We start from the raw sequence: 22100 nt of genomic DNA, 5'->3' as shown, positions 1-22100 counted from the left end.
TTTAACACGCTGCCCCAGTGGTTCTTATGCAAGACAAGTTTGAGAACCACTAACTAAGCTCTAGGTACAATAAAAAGAATACCATCTCTACAGCTCCTTCATAAAATTCAGAGGGGCTAAGGGAAACCACCGCCTAACATTCTTGGTTCTCATATCTCTTGTTTTCTGTCCACTCCCATACTGGTACAACTTATTTGGTTCAGCACAGACCATTTAAGATGACCAAGTATTCTGTTGCACTGTGATTCAAATTAATCAGCTATTAGAAGAAAAAGAAGTAAGAAATACTTAAGCCCCAGCTGAATACTGGCACAGTGCTTAATACCATAAAAACACAGATTAGCTGCATGCTCAGAAAGCTTACACTTATTTGCCATACTCCTTCTATTTTAAATTAATCCTACAGAATAACCAGAAAACACCTCTCAGTGGAGTTCTAAGTTTCTCATATCCCTTTTATGCTTTCATACACAGCTCATCAGTTGCCTCTCTAAGGCTGGATGATATTGCTAACCAACATGTGGCAAAGAAGGCTCTAAAACAGCATGACAATTTTATGATTGACTCAGGTAATCATAGCTCTCTTGAGGGGAATATGCTCTTCAGGCTCACCTCTCCTCTGTTTCTGCCATCCACAATCCCCCTTGGAGGAACTTAAGGCTCTTATACACTCAATTACTCTCTACTGATTTATAGTGCTAAACGGCCATTCACATAAGGGCTCTCCATAAACATTACCAGATTATGCCAACTCAGGTGATTGATTACGGACCTCTTAATGTGCCACGTATCTAAAGACAAGCCTATGTATCCAATTCTTCTCAGCTTCTCAAACTAGGCTTCCTATTCACACCTTGCAGCAATTGCCTTTTGAAACAAGACTGAAGTTAAAGGAACCAACTATAGGAAAAAATGAATTAAAAGGTCAAACATTACAGATAATTAAAGGTCTAACAATTGCACACGGTGAAGACAATCAGGATTAAAATGAGAGTAACCCAAATTCTCTGCATTATAGAAAACTTCTTTTTACCATCATCTAAACTGATGCTTCTTATACTTTAAGGTGCCTATAAATTACGTAGAAAATCTTTCTAAAATGCAGTTCTGACTCTGGCACTCTTAGATGGAGTCCAAGGTTCTGCATTCTTCACAGGTTCACAGGTATGCCGATGCGGCGGTAGCTCTGCTACTCAACAGTGTGGTAGGGCAAAAGCAGCATCAGCATCACCTGGGAGCCTGTTAGACAAGAATCTTGAGCCCACACTAGACTAAGGAAAAAGAATCTGCACTTCAACAAGGTCCCCAAGTAATTAGGATGCACATTTTAGAGCAGCTGACACACCACTTTGTACTCATTGTGAATGACAATCACCTAGGACACTTTTAAAACCACTAGGCCTCATGGCGGAGATTCGGATTCATTTTATCTAGGGTATTTGATCGTTACCATGTTTGTCTCTTTTTAAGCACACCCAGGTGGTTCTAATGGGCACCAATGTTGGGAAGCATTGAACTAAAAATACTTCCCTGAGAGGGGAGAAAATATGGAGTGACGGCTAATTGGTAAGGAATTTCTTTGGAGATGATGAAGATGTTCTAAAATTGATTATGGTGATGGTGGCATAACTTTGTGAATGGAGTAAAAGTCACTGAATCATACATTTTAAATGGGTCACTCATATGTGAATTATATCTCCATAAAACTGTTACATAAAAATTTCAATTAAAAACTTCAATAGCTTCCCTATTTAGAAATAAATAAGCCCATCTTAACAACAACTAAATTGAATTATTTTCTATCCTGAACTCTGGCCCAAGAGTTTGAATTTCTTTTTAAAAAGGAGGAAATGCAGATGTTTATTCAGAAATATTAAAATGTGCTCATTTACTCTGCAGGTTCAATTCTAGCCAAGGCAATGGATAAAGAATAAACCCTTACGTCACAAAGGACACCACTATGTTAAAAAAAAAAAAAAAAAAAAAAGCATATTTACCGATTTGGAAAGCTTTACTCTGCAGACCTCAAGTTTTCATAGTATTTTCAAATAAATAATTTTCCTTTTGCTTCCCTTATTTAAAAATAAATTAATTCATTGTACCACATTCTTCCAACTTGTATGTTTGAAGATATTCACAAAATATGTTAAGAAAAAATATAAAATGCAAATATGACTTTGTTTAAAAAAATGCCTTAAGAAACAATAATGTATTCATAAAAATAAGAGATCACAAATAGCACTAAAAATTACACGGAAGATCATGGTATATGAGATATACCACGACACAGACCATCCCATTTACAGTATATGAGATACTGTTTACTTATTATCAAAAAGAAAGCACTATAAATACAGGTAAGTGATAGACACCCCTCTGTATTTTGAAGAGAGACTCTCTCACACTTCTGATACCTGTGTTGTCAAATACTGAAGACTACAGGTGCTGTAAGATCAATTCAGTGGTGGCTCACAGCAAAAGTACCTGATTTCCTTTCCCTGTTTGATCACCATAGCCCATGTAAGCCATCTTCCCCACATGAATCAATGCCCTTCTTTATGGTTCCATGCTGTCATTCTTTTGAAGCAGACACATTCTGAATGCCTCACTGAACAGAGTTCCTAGGGCAACATACACTGATCACATGCATCTTCTGGGTCCTCTGCTAACTCAGAGCCCCTCTCTTAAGAGATGGCTTCCTGGGTCCTTCAAGGCAATAGGTAAGGTCACCTTCACAAGGAAGTATGATTCCCTCCCTTGACCACAACTCCCCCAGAAAATCCAATGCATTGTAGTATTATTGCTACTGTGTGTATTTTATTTTTTTAAAACAATTCTACCTTATTACATTCTACAGATGACAAAGAAAAGGCAAATCAACACTCCTAACTACTGACCTTGGCCTAAGTCACTTGGAAATAGCAGTCTCCTATTGCTTTTTATAGTAAGGCAGATTACCATCCTGCCTAACCTAAATCCCCCCCTGCTTTAAATATCTTTGTTCAATGAAGTCTTCCATTTTCATAATACTGTGAAGATGGTTACATATTCTAGAGTAAACAGAATAATCTGAGTTTTAGGTAAAAGATTTCAATTCCAAATTAGCAACCCTGAAACCCACATTGGTGATACTCATCTTGTCAACTCTATCTCAATCCTCTGAGTCTTTGAAACGCTAACTTCCTGAGAGGTCAACACCCACAATCACTGTGTGCATATCCTGCTGAATTAAATAACTAATTCTTACTGGATTATCATGTCACAGTTAATAATTTCATTAAAAATTCATATTTGTTTAAAAAAAAAACAGAAAAAAGGCTTACCTAATGGTATATATACTCTGAATATTCTTTTCCCCACCTTGTCCTTCCTTAAGAGCTTGCATTTGTAGTAAGTGCATAATGGCTTTTATCAAGCCATGTGTATTTCTGCAAAGAAATATAGCATGTTAAATGTTATAGATAAAAAGTGAATATTCTAATCAGGTGCTTAATCCTATCATTTTAAAATAATTTTAATACTTGCCACCCACATTAAACAGTAGCCACCCACAGGCCCTCAACTCATTCTATAGTACAGCCCAAACCCATCCAACACATTTAAAGGAGAAGAAATGGAGCTAAAGAATCAAACCACCAACTTATCAATCATCTGCCTACACATTCTTGGGGGAAAATCAATCAGGAAAAAACAAACATTAGCCCACATAATTTCAAGCAGTGACCACATTGGTTGCCCACACCGAATGACCAAATATTTCATTTATAAATATTAGCAGACTATGAAAAATAACCAAATATATGAAATGGATCAGCCACTCTAAAAAGTGGGCCAGGGAAGCAATCAAAGCAAATAACCCCCATCGAAATAGAGCTAATAGAAAGGGAATAGCAATTTAAATTTTTTCCTTATTTTTGTAAGAGATAAGAGGATAAACATATCAGAAAGAAAAATAGGCTGCCTTTCTTAAATAAAGATCTCCCTGGAAAATATAAAGAAAATCTTAGAAATAAAAAACTCACTATTTGTTAAATTTAAAAAGTAATTTTTTTTTTTTTTTTAGATGGAGTTTCACTCTTGTTGCCCAGCCTGTAGTTCAATGGCACGATCTCGGCTCACTGCAACCTCCATCTCCTGGGTTCAACTGATTCTCCTGCCTCAACCTCCCAAGTAGCTGGGATTACAGGCATGTGCCACCACATCTGGCTAATTTTGTATTTTTAGTAGAGACAAGGTTTCACCATGTTGGTCAGGCTGGTCTCAAACTCCTGACCTTAGGTGACCCGCCTGCCTCAGCCTCCCAAAGTGCTGGGATTACAAGTGTGAGCCACTGTGCCCAGCCAAAAAGTAATTATTGTTTAATTATGCTTGTTAACATTTATTGAGCATTACCATAAGCTAAGCACTTTTCTAAGTTCTTGCATTATGTCACTTACTTCAGAACATAGTTGATTAGAAATCAATGTTAACTTTATTTTTGGGTTAGAACACTACTTGGACTTAATTAGGTATCATTTGTGGCATTTATGTGAGATGTTACTGAGTGTATTTTTTTATGGCATTTAAGGTTTTCCAAGTGACAAAAGGTTTGGCCACTTAGTAGACCTGCACAGTCCAATATAGTAACAGCCACATGTGGCTACTGAGCACTAGTAATATGGTTAGTCCAAATTCAGATGTCCTGTAAGTACAAAATACATGCTAGATTTAAAAGACTTTGGGACACAAAAAAAAGAATATTAAATACCATGTATAATTTTTTATATTGATTACATGTTGAAATAATATTTTTGATATATTGGGCTACATAAAATATATTATTAAAGTTAATGTAATCTATTTCTGGTTTTTTAATGTGGCTACTGGAAAATTCTGAATTACATATGTGGCTTGCATTTGTGGCTAAGATTATATTTCTATTTCACAGCACTGCTGTAGACACTCAAATAGTTTAGTGCCTAAATGGATTCTTTGGGGAGTATTGAGGTTTCTCTTGCAGCTGAAGCATTTTTCACAATCTACAGTGGTATGTTTTCTCTTCCATATGGATCCTCTTAGGACCATTCAGTATAACTCATGGATGAATCTTTCATGACATATGTCACATGTGTATAGTTTCTCTCCTGTGTGGATCCTCTGGTGAACACAGAGGTCCCAACACTTCATGAAGCCTTCTCCATAAAGATTCTCTCTCCTGTGTGTGTTCTCCAATGGATGTCAAATCAAGATTTGGCTTGCTCACATGCTACACATTGGTACTGTGTCAATTCTATGGTACTTTGGCCCACAAAATGGCCAGTGAATCTCACTGTAACTCAGTGAAAATTAAAATGGAAATCTTTTTGTAAACTAGAATGAAGTGTAATTGCCTCAAGAAAGTCTGACTGCATGGCATCTCCTTGAGGACCTCCTTGGGTAACCAAGGTATTGCCTTGTCTTCTTCCTTTGGAACTGTTCACATTCTTCTGAGAAACTTCTCTATTGACACTGAATTTCTAGACTCCTCTTATGCCAGAGCTTAGGAAAAAGATACCTCAACATCCAAACTTTTAAAATAAACTCCTTCTTTGCAATTCTTCACACCATTTACTTTTTCAGAATCAGAACTTTTTGTAACTGAGAACTCTGGACTATAAGGACTGGTGTCTCCCACTATATCCTCCAGTTCTTCACAACTCTTCACAACACCTTCCTTTACAAAGACCTGGAGATCCCTCAACATAACTGCTCTATCACCAATTTATCAAGAACCTATACCTAGGTATAAATGTCTCGACTAAGTCACAGGGTAGAGTTCACACAGCCTCCTCTGAAGGTCTATGGGATCTGACTCCTCCAAATATATGAATTTTGTAAGCTAACTTACCAGGTCTCAGGGATGCAGTCCTGCAGCTCTGACCCAGGCCTGTGCCTAGATGTTAAATGATACCATGAAATATACAATCTCATCATCACTAATTGGGTGAGCCATTCTGAGAATCCAGTATCTGACTAAAGCCTATCATAGGGAGTCTACTTTGGTCTGTCCTGGAGAAAGAGTCACTACATGTTTAGAAGCATTCTTATCTTCTAGCCTTCAATGTCTATACAACTGAAAATCAGCTTTCAAGTCGTATTTAAGCTATTTATATACCACTGAAGAAAGGCCAGGCTTCACCTAGTAACCTCGTAAGACTGCACTCTGAGCCTAATGATTAGTTGAAATGACCAGTGTTGATGAATTTCTGACTGAATTTCTTCCAAAAAATACAAATTCATTAAATAATCCTTTTTTGCATGTGAAACTATATTGGTTTTCCTTAATTATTTATTTGTCATATGACTAGAGTTCTAGAGATAACAGATAACAGATCTATGGTTTTTATGGTGTCCTACCTTTTTATGAAAGCAGTGGAATCCAAGAGAAAAGAATAGACATCACATTTACTTTTAATTCCAAGGGATTCACAAAACCACCAATGCTGATAAATGAACTCCAATTTTTTAAACTTTAAGTTAGGTCTCACTTACTCTTATCTGTGGATCCAGATTTTATTGTGTAGATAACGGAGTCAATGCTGTATTTTCAGCAAGAGTGTAGCATGAGTAGATTATAATTTTTGAAAGATGATGGCATCAATCAAGTTACACATAGCGCCATTCAAATGGTTATACATTTGCCTTAAATTTAATTGAAACTATCCCCCTCAACCCACTTGAAATAGATATTATTTATATTAATAAATATTATGTTTAATAAATATTATGATTTACATATTTCAAATGGGTTGAGAGGGATACTTTCAGGTTAATATTTATTTAAACCCCTACTTCAATTTGAATTAACTAGGGAATCTTAGGCAAGTCACTTAATGCCTAGGGGTCTCAACATCCTCGTCTTCATAATCAAAAATCATAATAAGCCCATCTCTTACGTTGTTTTAAAAAATAAAGAATAGTATGTCAGTAAATTACATGCTTTTTCAAAAAGCTGGGATAATTCAAAACTTATACTATAACATAAAGATAATAATGTTCTTCCCTCTTTCAGATGACGCTGTGTAAGCACAGGCATCAGAGTTAATGAACGCTGAGGCCTGGAATTTGCCTAAAACTAACTACAAACTCATCCTAACTCCTAAAAATCTCTAGTATTTTCCATCTCTTAGCTCAAAATCTGCTTTTCTTGTTTTCAAGTCTTTGTTATTCTGGATCTGAGATCTACTCCTGCAAAATGAAAATTATTGTTGAATTCTGTATGATTTCATAAAGAGGTTACAGTAATTTGAATCATGCTAAAACTCAAAATAGTGAATTAGAAGAAAACATAACCACTGGAGAAGCAAAAGTCAAAGAAAATTTCACTGCACTTACATCTTCAAATTGAAAAAGCTTCCAAGTACTAAGCAAGATTTCTGAAATAAAATAATTGCTGACATTTCTCAAAGGATAAAAAAAATCCTATAACCTCTTAAATTTTATAAAACAAAAAAATTCATAAAATAAAAACAACTAGGCTTGCATCATTTCTAATTTGGCATCAGCATTCTTGTCTACAAACAACAAAACTGAATGAAGCAATGCATGTGGAGTTATAAGAGAAAGGCTTATAAAACTCAGTAAGTCCAAACACCTCCCCCAAAAAAGTGAGTAAAATACCAGAAAAGAAATATTTTCACACATAAAACTCTGAAAATTTTTCTTAAAGAGGTTCTCCAGTTAAATTAGAATGCATGATTGCACAGCCTTGTAACTATACTGAAAACACTGAATTACATACTTTGAAAGAGTGATTTTATAATATTTGAATTATATCCCAATAAGCTGTTATTTTTTTTTTTAAAGATAAAACAATTGAAGAGGCCAGGCATAGTGGCTCGTGCCTGTAACCCCAGCTACTCTGGTGGCTGGAAGCCAGAAGATCACTTGAGGTCAGGAGTTTGAGACCAGCCTGAGCAATATAGAGAGATCCCGTTTCAAAAAAAAAAAAAACCTTAAAAAATAAGCCAAGCATGATGGCACACACTTGTAGTCCTAGCTACTCAGGAGGCTGAGGCAGGAGGATCACTTGAGCCCAGGAGTTTGAGATTACAGTGAGCTATGATCTCACCACAGCACTCAAACCTGGATGACAGAAAGACATGTCTCAGGGAAGGAAAAGAGAAGGAAAAGAGGAGGGGAAGGGAGGGGAGGGGAGGCGGAAGGAAGGAAGGAAGGAAGGATTGACTGAAGAAATAAAAAGCATGTAGACTACAAGTAACTTTGGTATGCATGAATATCAGAACATACAATTATTTTTCAAATGTGACTATAAAGATTAAAGCAATTGCTTTGAAAGAATTTATGGAGAAAAAATGTAAAAAATAACAAAAAGAAAAATCTGTAACTAAAATTCCAGATAGTTTCAGCAAAGTTGGTAGGGAAAGTTTTTAGCAGAGTGAAAACAAAGTTAAGAGAGAGTCTAAGATAAAATGTTTACAGCATACATGCCCACAAAACAAGAAAAGCAACAAAATAAAGCAGATCATAAAATAGCAAACTGAGCAGAGAATAGAGATACACAAATCACAGAAGAATAAGATTCATAATACTCAGTGTTAAAGAGTAGGTGGGGGAAGTAAGCACTTTCATGTTGATATGTTGGTTCAGCCTTTGTGCAGAGCAAATTGACAGTATCTATGAAAATTTTATACCCCTTTTCCCATAAATTCTGCTTCTATGACCCCATCCTATAGACATACCCTTATCTATACTCAAAAGAAGATATTCCTATAATCCCAGCACTTTGGGAGGCCCAAGGTGGGCGAATCGCTTGGGCCCAGGAATTTGAGACCATACTGGGCAAAACCCCATCTCTACAAAAAATACAAAAACTGGCCAAGTGTGGTGGCATGAGCCTGTAGTCCCAGCTACTTGGGGGACCGAGGTGGGAGGATCACTTGAGCCCAGGAGGTTGGGGCTGCAGTGAGCCATGATCACGCCACTGCACTCCAGCCTGGGTGACAAAGTGAGATCACCTCAAAAAAGAAAAAAAAAAGACAATATTATACTGTATGTGTTATCTTTTAAAGAGGAAGAGAAAAAAACACATGTCTGTCATTAGGAAAATGACTAAAATGTGACTCCTCTTAAACAGAATACTCTACAGCTGTTAATAAGGTTGCAAACAGATTTATGCATGTGACATGGAAAAATTACCATCACATACTATGTGGAAAAATGCAAGTTTAAAAACAAAATACATTTGAACGGAATATTCAATTCTAAAACACTTGGCATATGTGCATATAAATGTTTTTTATAGGTCTAGGAATGGGATTTCAATGTCACTGGGGTTAGTTGGTTCCTAATTCCATGTACCTGGATCTGACTTCAGATTACCCTGGTTTTCTCTATATCCTAGCAGAAACCAAGACCAAGATTTGAAGGAACCTTTAAGACTCCCTATTAGCCCTGAGTCCTTCCAGTCCTGCCATTTCCTACTTTTCACCAGGGCTCAATAACAAAAGTGAATTTTAAGAAAAGAAAAAAAAGATGACAAAAAGTAGTTTCACCACTGACTTCCATTACCTACAATTTCCACTGTTTGCACAACTTTTATTTTGTATTAGTTAAAAAATATTTATAATCTCAAAGTGCGAAAAAGACTTTTTTTGTTTGTTTGTTTGTTTTTTGAGATAGGGTCTTGCTCTGTCACCCAGGCTGGAGCACAGTGGTGCAATCATAGCTCACTATAGCTCACTGCAGCCTCGACCTCTTGAGCTCAAGTGATGCTCGAACCTAAGCCTCCCAAGTATCTGGAGCTATAGGTGTGCATCACCATACCTGGCTAATTTTTTATTTTTTTTAAAGACAGAGTCTCACTATGTTGCCTAGGCTGGTCTCAAACTCCTGGCTTCAAGCAATCCTTCTGCCTTGACCTCTCAAAATGCTAGGATTACAGGCATGAGCCACTGTGCCTGGCCCAGTGAGGAAGGACTTCCTGAACACAAATGAAAAATTCATGTCCTTTTTAGGGACATGGATGAAACTGGAAATCATCATTCTCAGTAAACTATCGCAAGGACAAAAAACCAAACACCGCATGTTCTCACTCATAGATGGGAATTGAACAATGAGATCACATGGACACAGGAAGGGGAACATCACAATCTGGGGACTGTTGTGGGATGGAGGGAGTGGGGAGGGATAGCATTAGGAGATATACCTAATGCTAAAAGAGGAGTTAATGGGTGCAGCACACCAGCATGGCACATGTGTACATATGTAACTAACCTGCACATTGTGCACATGTACCCTAAAACTTAAAGTATAATAATAATAAAAAAAAGAAAAATTAAACGTGATCTCCTGGATAGACAGTATGAGGAGAAATTGAAATAAACAATGAAATAACCACGGTGTCTTCTGCTTAGGACCTGTATTCAGTCACAGTTTAGCACAGACACAAAAACATGTCATTTAATTTGAAAAAGCAGATTTCTGAGGAACATTTTTAGGGACTGGAATTAGACTTTAGATAAGCAGACTCTATGAGTTTGAGGTACACAGGTACCCGGAAGAGTTAATTAACAAATCAAGGTAAAGACTTTAATCAGGGCAAAAAAGAGCTGATTAGATATTATGCCTAACTTATTCATAGTATAATGTGTTCAGGGGATATCAACAAAAAAAGGCATATCCAGCTGCCTACTAGACATTTCCACTTCAGCATCTGAATTGTGCCTCATATTCAACACATCCAAAATTGAACCCATGCTCTCCCCCGACACACCTGGTCTTCTAATGTTCCCTATCTAAATGTAGAGAAAGCCAGAAATCAAGGAGTCACCTTTGACATATCCCTTTCAGTCATCTACATATTCAGTACACCACGAATGCTTCATCCCTTAAATATCTCACAAATCCCTCTACTTCCCCCATCTCTAGTGCAAGCAACCATCACCTCTCACTCGACTACAGCAACAGCCACCTAATCTCTGTGTATCCCATCTAGGTGCCTACCCCAAACCCAATACTTTCCATTTTAATCTTCATACTGCATTCCAAATGGCCTTTTGTGGAATCACTAACACCCGCTAGATAAAACACTTCAGTACATTCCTTCTCCACCCAGGATAAAGACCCAAATCATCAAGATTGTCAATCATGCGCTGCACTGTCTGAATCCCACCTACCTTTCCAGCTTCATTTCATACCACTCTCCCCTCACTCTTAGCATTCTTTCAGGCCATCTTAACAGCCAATCTCCTTCCCACAGCAGGAACTTGGCACATACTATTTCCTGTAACTGGAAAGTTTTACCAACTCCTGTTTGCCTAGACAACTTTTATTTACTCCTTCGTCTCATCTTAGGTGTCACTTCCTCAGGAAAGCCTGCTTTTACCACCATGACTAAGTCAAATCGTCATCTTAAAGGCATTCCCAACACAGTATACTTTGAATGAGTTTCTATAACTAGGCAATTATGGCAATCTCTCCATTGAAACCAAAAGCATCATGAGTGCAATAACTACGTCTGCATTCCTCACCACGGTATCACAGCACCTAGCACAGAAATACAAGAGATAATAAATATACTCAGGAGAGCATTAGGGAAAAGAGTTAATGCATGCTGGGCTTAATACCTAGGTGATGGGTTGATAGCTGCAGCAAACCACCACGGCACATGTTTACCTATGTAACACACCTGCACATCTTGCACATGTATCCCAGAACTTTAAAAAAATAAAATAATAAATAAATATACTCAATAAATATGTTTAATTGGCCAGGTATAGTGGCTCACACCTGTAATCCCAGGACTTTGGGAGGCTGAGGCGGGAAGATCACCTGAGGTTGGGAGTTCGAGACCAGCCTGACCAACATGGAGAAACCCCGTCTCTACTAAAAATACAAAATTAGCTGGGGGTGGTGGCACATGTCTGTAGTCCCGGCAACTTGGGAGGCTGAGGCAGGAGAATCGCTTGAACCCGGGAGGGAGAGGTTGTGGTGAGCCAAGATCACACCAATGCACTCCAGCCTGGGCAACAAGAACGAAACTCTGTGTCAAAAAAATACATATAAATATATGTTTAATTAATAGATGGATGGATGGATACAGCTCAGGTACTATCTTGCTTGGCTCCCAAGGTAACCTCTGAAGGTATTTCTAGTTCTATATTTACATAACTTTATAGATGCACACTGAAATTCATGTATCTGATCTCTAATATCAAAATTCATTATTTAGTTTTTTACAAAATAATATGAATGCTATTACTGGTTGTGTTTCTAAAAGGCCTTTCATTTAAGGGATCACACATTTAGCAAATAGGATAACTGTAAATACTGGGAAGATGAAATTCATGTAATATCCTTATATTATCAAGCAATGAATTCTATTGGGAAATGAAGTACTTTGTTGTTGTTGTTGTTGTTGTTGTTGTTGTTGTTGTTGTTGTTTTGGAGACAAAGTCTCGCTGTGTCACCCAGGCTGGAGTGCAGTGGCACGATCTTGGCTCACTGCAACCTCCACCTCCTGGGTTCGAGAGATTCTCCTGCCTCAGCCTCCCGAGTAGGAGGGATTACAGGCACGCACCACAGGCCCAGCTAATTTTTTTTGTATTTTTAGTAGAGATGGGGTTTTGCCATGTTGGCCAGGCTGGTCTTAAACTCCTGACCTCAGGTGATCTGCCCGCCTCAGCCTCCCAAAGTGCTGGGATTACAGGCGTGAGCCACTGCGCTCAGCCAGAAATCAAAGTAGTTTTTTTGTTGTTATGGGTTTTTTTTTCATTTAACTTATCTTAATCTACATTCCTACAACATTAAAACCAACTTAAGATTCCTGATGGAATAAGAAAAGTAAGAGAGAAATATTCAGATGTATGCAGAGATTTAACTGCTATGAGGATTGCCCATGACATAGCTAAATCTACCACCCTGTAAATTAATTCCTAAGAGAGTCTTAGGAATATTAGATGGTTCCTATGACTTAATATTAAGACCGGGGCAAGAAGTCCTATTTGGAAGATGCTGTTTCTTTCACTCCCCTCCATCTTAACTCACTTGTTATATATGAAAATCACTGAATAGCAATAAGATTTTTGAAACTTTGTAAATTCCACCCTCCTCTCTCAAGCTGCTTCTAAAGAGTGGATCCAAAAACAGCCTTAAAAATAGAGGAGAAGAGGACTGAAATACATCAAGTATGTTTAAATCCATAAGCTCATTATAATTATTTTATAAGAAAATGTAACTGGTCACCACTGAAAGGATGCTTTAAAAAATCATTATTTTGGAATTTAGTAAATAAAAGAATTACATATATATCCTGCCTTTCCTATATAAATTATACCTCTGGGTGTAGATATGGGGAAGATTCTCTTTATAGAAGTATTTCAGGTAATAAGTGAAGAAAAAAAACATAGAATTAGAATGTCACCATTTGAAATCCCTAATGAATTAATGGATCTAGTCACTGAGCATCAACAGCTGCTAACATCATCAAAAATGAAAACAATCAGATACTATGTCCTCCTGAGAAAAGAACACAATCCCACCTAAGAAAAAGTCTCCCCCAAACTCCCAGGGTTGTTTTGAGACTTAAGTGGGGAATTTTAGGTAAAGCTCTAAAGCACAAGGCAGGGCACACAGTTTATATTCAAGAAAGGCTAGTTTTCTTCCTTAACCCTCTTCCCCTAGAAAACAAAGCAGTGGTTGTTTCTATTATTATTGCTGTTTAGAGAGATAATTTATAATTTAAAGAAAATATTCTGGGAGGTGGGGGAAGTCAAGGCAGTATCCCACCACCACAATTAAACAATTATATTTGACACTGATTCTCCATTCACTCAATCTCTCCTCCTTCTATCCCTGTCTGAGCAACATAGATCTAGTATTAGTCACTTGTATTTAAGCACAATTATGTTTCAAAGCTAGAGCTGAAAGGCTGAGAAATACCTATTTCCATGTGGCTCTCCTCCAAATTCAGTTCCAGTGCAGAGGACTCCTCAGGAATAGCATTCCAGTCTCCTCTCTGTTTTGGAAATTACCACACCCTCTGCATTCATATGGTTACTGTATAAGTGATCCTAGCACACATATGCTCACACAATCAAGACACAGTGAGCAGAAAGTTAAATTGTGTCCCCCCAAAAGATACATCTAAATCCCAACCCCCAGTACCTATGAATGTGACCTTATATGGAAATAGGGTCTTTGTAGATATAATTAAATTAAGTATCTTGGGATGAGATCATCCTAGGTGGGTCGTAAATCCAATAACCGGTATCCTTATAGAGAAAGTACAGGGATACTGTATTGGAGACAAAGAGATATACAGGTAAGTCAGCCATGAGCATACAGAGGCAGAGACTGAAGTTACAAGGCCACAAGGCAAGGAATGTCAAAGGTTTCCATCAACCACCAGAAGCTAGTAGAAAGGCATAGAACAGATTCCCCCACAGAGCCTCCAGAAGGAATCAGTCCTGCTGACACCTTGGTTTTTGGCTGCAAGGCATCATGAAATCATGAAATAATAAATTTCTGTTGTCTTAAGCCACCAAGTTTATCATCTTGTGTTAGAGTAGCCCTAGAAAACTAACACTTGGCAGAGCTGACTGATCCAGCTCCAGGTCCCACCATTGGAAATCTGTAATTGTGGCCAGGAAATTCCAATCTCAGTCTGGCTGCCTCATATACAAGAGATGTTAAGCCAGGGGCAGGTGGTGCCCTGTGAACTAGGAGGCAGAGAAAGTCTGCAGGAAGAAAGAAGAACAAAACACACAGTTTATATCCCATTTGTTTCTGAGGCCTAGGTGCATATTTATTCTTGGGTCCTATGAGATACATACTCCTTTATCAAAAAAATTAATCCATTTTTGCTCATACTAGTTCAAGTGGATTTCTGTAACTGGTAGCCCAAAGAGACCTAATCCACACAGGAAACTGCTGCCAAAAGTCTACAATAAAGATCAGCTGGAATAAGTCCTTTCTTGGGCAGGTGCCAGGAAAAGATGAATTTACTCAAGAACCCTTAAAGAGAGCAAAGGAAACTTCAAAACTAAGCCACAAGCACAGTAGCAAGAGACAATGCAAAAAGGTGCCACAATTTTCACTAGGCATAAGAGCCAAGACCCACCTCTCATACAGACTAAGTATCCCTAATCAACAAATCCAAAATCCTAAATGCTCCAAAATCCTAAATTTTGTGAGCACTGATGTGACACCACAAGTTGAAAATTCCACACCTGAAGCCATGTGACAGGCTACAGACAAAATACAGTTAAAACTTTGTTTCATGCACAAAGTTATTTAAAATATTGTACAAAATTACCTTCAGGCTATCTGTATAAGGTGTACATGAAATATAAATGAATTTTGTGTTTAGACTTGGGTCTATCCAAGATATCTCTTTATATATATGCAAATATCCCAAAATCCAAAAAACATAAAATCTGAAACACTTCTGGTCCCAAGCATTTCAGACAGGGGATAGTTAGCCTATAATGAGAGGGAGTATGGGTCAATTATGACGTTGAAGATTCAAAAAAAATTTTTTTTTAATTTTTAGTCAAGCTCTACCAACTACACTAACTAGAAAACACTCAGGCAGACTGTTTTTGCTAGGTTAATATGGCATAATTACTACTGTGTATATGAATAACATGTATCAGATTCCCTTTGGGAATTATTTCATTACAACACTAAACACTGCTCACGTATGCTGGGTCTCTTTTTCAAAGACTACAAATAATGCTTGATTCTTTGCTTTCAAAATATACCAAACATGAGGTACAAGACTGTACCCATATTTGACCAGGGGTAGAATTAAAAGGGTTTGGGTTTGGGTTGAAGAGAATGACATAACATCCCAAGAGGGATGCATCCCTAGGTGTCATGGGAACAAATGTGGCCAAGTCCCTTTTTAACTGGAAAGGATTTCAGACCCCTGAACAAGATAATTCATCAGTCTTAAGCATAGTAAGTCATCAGCAAACAAGAGAATGATAAACACTAGAAAAATAATCAAATCATTGTCTAAATTCATTATAAAACTATATGAGAAAACTATAAAACTATATGAAAGAGATAAACAGAGACAAGAAGACACGGACAAAATAAACAGTTCTGAGAAATCCATGCTTAAATGAATGACCAAAAAAATGCTTCTTTAAAATAAAATCTAAGAGATGTAATGTTACTGAGCTTTTGCCTAACAAAGTTCTGTGCACTCATTTGTCTTCCATGTACCAAAAATGGCCTGATTTCTTCTGAAGCATTTTTCCATTATAAAAGTAACATGTGTTCAGTAGCCACTGTTCTTAAATCACCTAGAAACATCTTAGCATAAATACATGACTCTACAATGGAAGATTTTGTGACAAAGCCTTCAACCAGATCAACTAACTTAAAAAGAAATAGGGCAGAATGTGCTAGATCAGAAAAGTGGCTGGAACCACTTTTCTGATTAGGAACTGAAAGTTGAGAGAAATTCTGGGATTTTCAAGGGGGAAAAAAAAGGATTGGGGAACAAAAGGAAGGAGAACATCTAGAAACAAGCTAATAAGCTTAAAAGGAATATTTAAAAGACAAGATGGGAAACAGACATGGACTAGCAACTCTGTCACTCTCTACTAAAAGTTAAATAAGCCATAATATCAATATAAATATAAACCTTGAAACCACATCAAATTCAGATAGTAATGCTCTGACACCCCAGCTGCAGATTAAAATGTGCTGTCTTCCCTAAACCTTGGAGGAAACCTCATAAAGGCATCCTTCCTTGGTTCTTCTTCTCCTGCCAAATAAAATAAAGAGAAAGAAGCTAAATAATACAGAAAAGCTTCAATAATGTAACAAGATATGAATACAGTTGCTAGCCATTTCCTACATAACAAAGCAATTAAGTTTCCCAAGGAACAGGGTCATCAATAAAAGAGAAGACCCTGAGAGACAAGAATTTTCTCCATAAATCATCCTAAATCTTAACTCCAAATGATTCTCAGAATCATTTTTAACCACTGAACCTTCATCAGCCCATGATCAAAGACTCACTGAATCCAACAGCTTTACTTAGGACCCACTACAAGAATTTTTAATATCCTATGCTAAATTTCATTAAAAGGTAGACTTTAGAAGTCTCAGAAAATACACTTTAATACACTTTATATTCCCAAATACCTCGAATGCAGGTCCCTTCCCTGTCTGAGAGCACAAAAGGCATACAAATCAAGTGCTAGCCTGGTTTATCCAGAGTATAACCTTCTTACCAAGCACATTAAGACAAGAAATGGGGGAAGCAGTTGAGCTGAAATTACAGGCTGTCATGACACCTCAGTATCAAAACTGAATACCTGGTTCCGCAGGAGAGCAAGATTTTTTATTCACAATCCTGTTACTAAGCAACTGTAACAATGGTTGCATGAGCCTTCTAGAAGCCAGCACAGTTAAGGGGAAAAAAATTCTAAGGAAAGAAAAATGGTTTGGGACTCTATTCCAGGATACAGTCAATGTAAAGACAAAAACAAACAAAACCAAAAACAATCTAAACTCAAAACAATTCCTGAAAGGTGTACAAAACTATATGCTGCTATATATCTTTCACTTTATTTTCAGTTTCATTTCATTTCAAAATTCACATTCGACTGGTGATAATGATTTCCTTACTGTGTTTCTTTTGTGGTCCCCTTCTTTCCTTCACCCTCCCTAGGGAATAATTTTTTTTCAAATTTCCTTACTGATGAAAAGAACATTTTAGAGCTCTTAAATCCATTTCTTTGTTTACAGAAGCTATAAAAACGAGTTTACAATTGTTTCATGTTGCCTCAGCTTTGAACAGAGAACACTCTAGGACATGAAACTATTCCTTTGAAGAGAACAGTCTCTCAAGCACAGCCAGACCCTTTCCCAGCCACTCCCTGAAGTTTAGACAACCAGATCATTGCAAATGTCAAGTCTTTTTCAAAGTTAGACTATACAATGTAACCCGCTCTAAGCCACTGTTTCTCAAATTGTGGGCTTGGATTCAGGTGGGAGGCGGGCTTCCATACGTGTTCCAAAGGAATTTTATAGACTAGACTTACAAAGGATGAAGGAGCAAGTTATAAGGCTGGAAGAGATGGGCACATCTACTTTTCCTTCCATCTTTCTTTCACGCTTTCAAAATCTGCTCTAAATGCTGAAAAAATTCAATAAGCTACATTCTCTAAACATCTATTCTATAGAAGGCTGTTTCTCACTATTGGCTTTTTCTATCCACCCCCCTCTCTCTTTCTCAGTTCCTGAAGGATAGTAGGCTAGAAGATAAATAGGCAAGATGGAAAGATAAAATTTTAGAATCATTTTTCTAAAGCAAAGATAAGCAATCATGGTGTGTCTCAGTTCCCAAAGTGCCTTTAGATTCCAATAAACCTCTAATTAAAGAGAAGGCAGAGACAAGTAGAAATTTAAATAATGGAAACTGAAGACCCAAACTGTCTCACCCAAAGTCATTCCCTGCATTTTACTGATTGATTGAGTGATTGATTGATTGAGACGGAGTCTCACTCTGTTGTCCAGGCTGGAGTGCAGTAGTGCGATCTTGGCTCAATGCTACCTCTGCTTCCAGGTTCAAGCAATTCTCCTGCCTCAGCCTCCTGCGTAGCTGGGACTATAGGCATGTGTCACCAAGCCCAGCTAATTTTTTTTGTATTTTTAGTTAGAGACAGGGTTACACTTTGTTGGCCAAGCTGGTCTCCAACTCCTGACCTCAAGCGATGTACCTGCCTCAGCCTCCCAAAGTGCTGGGATTACGGGCATGAGCCACCACGCCTGGCCCATTCTTGCCTTTAAGTCCCAAAGACACAGATGGTTTTCTGTCTCAGAAGATTCCCTGAGGTTCATTTTGGAGGAGGAGGCTATTTGAGTGTCTTGTTTTTAATTAGCTTGTTTCTTAAAATGGATTCTCATTTTGTTGGGGTTTTTTTTTTGTAAACATAAACGGTACAAAGTATAGTCTTCGTATTCACTACACACCGCAAAGTTCTGCTACTTGAAATAAAGCAAATGAAGAAAATTACGTTTTCTGACATAAAAATAATTATTATATCCACTGGCAACAATAAGGAAAACTTAGCACTTATATATTTTATGATCAAATTGATTCAAAAATTAAATTGGTTAGCTTCAGCATCTATTCTGTCTATATCTCCCTGTGGATGACAATTTAGACAATATGAACATTCTCAGATAAGAAATCTTGTTTAAAATGTCCAGCATCCTTCCACTGTTAAAACTCCTATATTTGCTTATTATAAAATTCAAGGCTTTCTTCCACATGTTGGCCAAATAGCCAAAGAACCTTAAAAATTTATGGCCACCTATATGTATAAGATTAAGGACTGAAACACTATCTATTGTAAAAGATTAGAAATAATAGGAAATTGATAAATTATGGCTCATCCACACAATGGAATATTATGCAGCTAGAAAAAAAATAGAAAGCTGTTTATATATTTTATAGAATGAGTTCTGAAATGGTTTGGATGTTTGTCCCCTCCAAATCTTATGTTGACATATGATTCTAAATGTTGGAGATGAGGCCTGGTAGGGGGTGAATGAATTACGGGAGGCAGATCCCTTATGAATGATTTACTACCATCCCCTTGGTGACAAGTGAGTTCTTGCTCAGTTAGTTCACATGAGATCTGGTTATTTAAAAGAATCTTGGACCTCCCCCTCTCTCTCTTGCTCCTGGCTCTTGCCATGTGACATGCCTGCTCCCTCTTTGCCTTCCACCGTGACTGTAAGCTTCCTGAAGCCCTTGCCAGAAGCAGATACTGGCACCATGCTTCCTGTACAGCCTGTAGAACTGTAAGCCAAAATAAACCACTTTTCTTTATAAATTACCCAGCCTTAGGTATTTCTTTATAGCAATGCAAGAACAGCCTAATACAAGCTCCAAGATATATTTTTTCACTGAAAATGCAAACTAAAGAATACTATGTAATAGGCTACTATTTCTGTTTGTTAAGGAAGGAAAATATACATGTAAATACACATACATACAAATTTTCTATTATATATTACATAGAATATAATAAGACCTACTAACAGTTTGTCTTCCACAGGGGGGATAAAACACAGATACTGGGATAGGACAGAGGCTTTGCCTAAAATATCCAATGTGAATATATTATCTATTCAAAAAAACACACTACTTTTCTCTTTTGAGACCAAGTCTCGCTCTGTCACCCAGGCTGGAGTGCAGTGGTGCAATTTCAGCTTCAGCTCGCTGCAAGATCCGCCTCCCGGGTTCGAGTGATTCTCCTGCCTCAGCCTCCCGAGTAGCTGGGATTACAGGCATAAGTCACCACGCCCGGCTAATTTTTGTATTTTTAGTAGAGACAGGGTTTCACCATGTTGGCCAGGCTGGTCTCGAACTCCTGACCTCAAGTGATTCGCCTGCCTCGGCCTGCCGAAGTATTGGGATTACGGGCATGAGTCACCGCACCTCACCCAAAAAACACATTTTTAAATTTAAAAATAACCAAGGTTACCCACAAATTATAATATGCAGAGATGACAGGATAATTCACTATCTGCAAAGCTTATACTTTGCAATTTACAATAGGGAGGAAGAATTAATACTGATGTGTGAATGATACCTCACACCAGCATAATTTTCTAAGATTATCTTCTAGAATTAAAGGTATAATCTAACCTGCTCTAATTACACCTCAAATACACAGAAGATACTACATTGGCCCCATGAGCTGCTGATACTTTAACTTTTGAATATAAATAGTACAACTACACAATGCAATTACATTTTACATTTGCAGATTTTTAAGGCATTTGAAAATATGTGGGGTGGGGGGCAAAAAATACCATCCCTGCATTTCACAAATAAAAAAGGTAAGGTAAAATCTAGGTGGCTTGCACAAGATCAACCAATAAATGAGAAAACAAGAGACACATAAAAATCTTAACTTTTCAAAATTCTCCTCAAAACTACTTTTTTAATTGGTATACAATAGAATTATTCTAAAATTTTTGTGTTTATATGCGTGTATGTGAATGCGTGTAGAAACAGAAAGAGAGAAAGTAGTAAGTTTTCAGTCATGATCAAACCTTCACTTATTCAGAAATATCTGGGCATCTACTAAGTGTCAGAGAGAGTGCCAGATACCAAAATACAGGTTTAAAAATAACACACATAGGCACATACTGTGAAACAACAATTAGCGCAGCAGAGAAGTGGGAAGTGTCTGGACAGGAAAGAGGACATCTGAGCACAGCCTGAAAGGATAACAAAGATGATGTCAGACAGAGAAGGGGAAGGAGCATGCCATGCTGGTGTGGAACACACACAAGGGCTCAGGAAGACTGAAGAGTTGTGGATGTCTAGAGAAGAGGGTTCATGGGGGGAAACATAACTTGAACAGAAGGCTGGATCTAGTTTGGGAAGGGCTTTTCCTTTTGCAACCACAGACTGCAAAAGGAAAAGAAAAACCAAGCCAGGCATGCTGGCACACATTTGTAGTCCCAGCTACTTAGGAGGCTGAGGCGGGAGGACTACTTGAGCCCAGTAGTTTGAGGCTTGAGTGAGCTACAATAATGCCCAGGCAGCATAGCAAGACCCAGTCAGAAAGGAAACAGAGAAAGAAAGAGAGAAAGAGAGAGAGAGGGAGAAGGAAAGAAGGAAGGAAGGAAGGAAGGGAGGGAGGGAGGGAGGGAGGGAAGGAGGGGAGAAAAAAGAAGGGAGGGGAGGGGAAGGGAGAGGAAGGGGAGGGGAGAGGAAGGGGAAGGAAAAGGAAAGGGAGGGGAGGGGGAGGAAGGGGAGGGGAGGGGAAGGCAGGGCAGAACAGGGCAAAATTAAGACCAAGGTGCCAAAAAGACACAAAGAAATGATCTAAGGAAACAGGAAACGATTTATAAAGAAAGGTTAAAAGGCTAGGGGTTATTTAACCTAATCAACTTCAAGCCCAGGAATCTTTCCACAAATTTTTGTTGTTGTTGTTAAGATGGAATTTCACTCTGTCACCCAGGCTGGAGTGCAGTGGTGTAATCTCGGTTCACTGCAACCTCCACCTCCTGGGTTCAAGTGATTCTCACGCCTTAGTCTCCTGAGTAGCTGGGATTACAGGCACGCATCACCA

The 22100-nt window shown here is 37.9% G+C and overlaps 1 protein-coding gene across 18 annotated transcripts in view; it reads right to left on the bottom strand.

Moving 5' to 3' along the window:
- The window catches only part of FOCAD (focadhesin), a 340326-nt gene that overhangs the window by 252287 nt on the left and 65939 nt on the right, over positions 1 to 22100 (bottom strand). For 14 of the 18 annotated variants that reach the window (XM_047423537.1, XM_047423539.1, NM_017794.5 and 11 more), the window contains one exon: positions 3324 to 3428. The exons of 3 other annotated variants lie outside the window; for them this stretch is intronic. In XM_047423537.1, coding sequence (XP_047279493.1) covers positions 3324 to 3428 — 105 coding nt within the window. Of the gene's footprint in view, positions 1 to 3323; positions 3429 to 17231; positions 17318 to 22100 lie in introns of those variants that run through there. One more of the 18 variants, XM_024447586.2, reaches the window with a different exon arrangement.

Source organism: Homo sapiens, chromosome 9, assembly GCF_000001405.40.
Source record: "Homo sapiens chromosome 9, GRCh38.p14 Primary Assembly".
NCBI lineage: Eukaryota > Metazoa > Chordata > Mammalia > Primates > Hominidae > Homo > Homo sapiens.
Note: the sequence above shows the minus strand (reverse complement) of the source record. Positions and strands in the feature narration are given on the sequence as shown.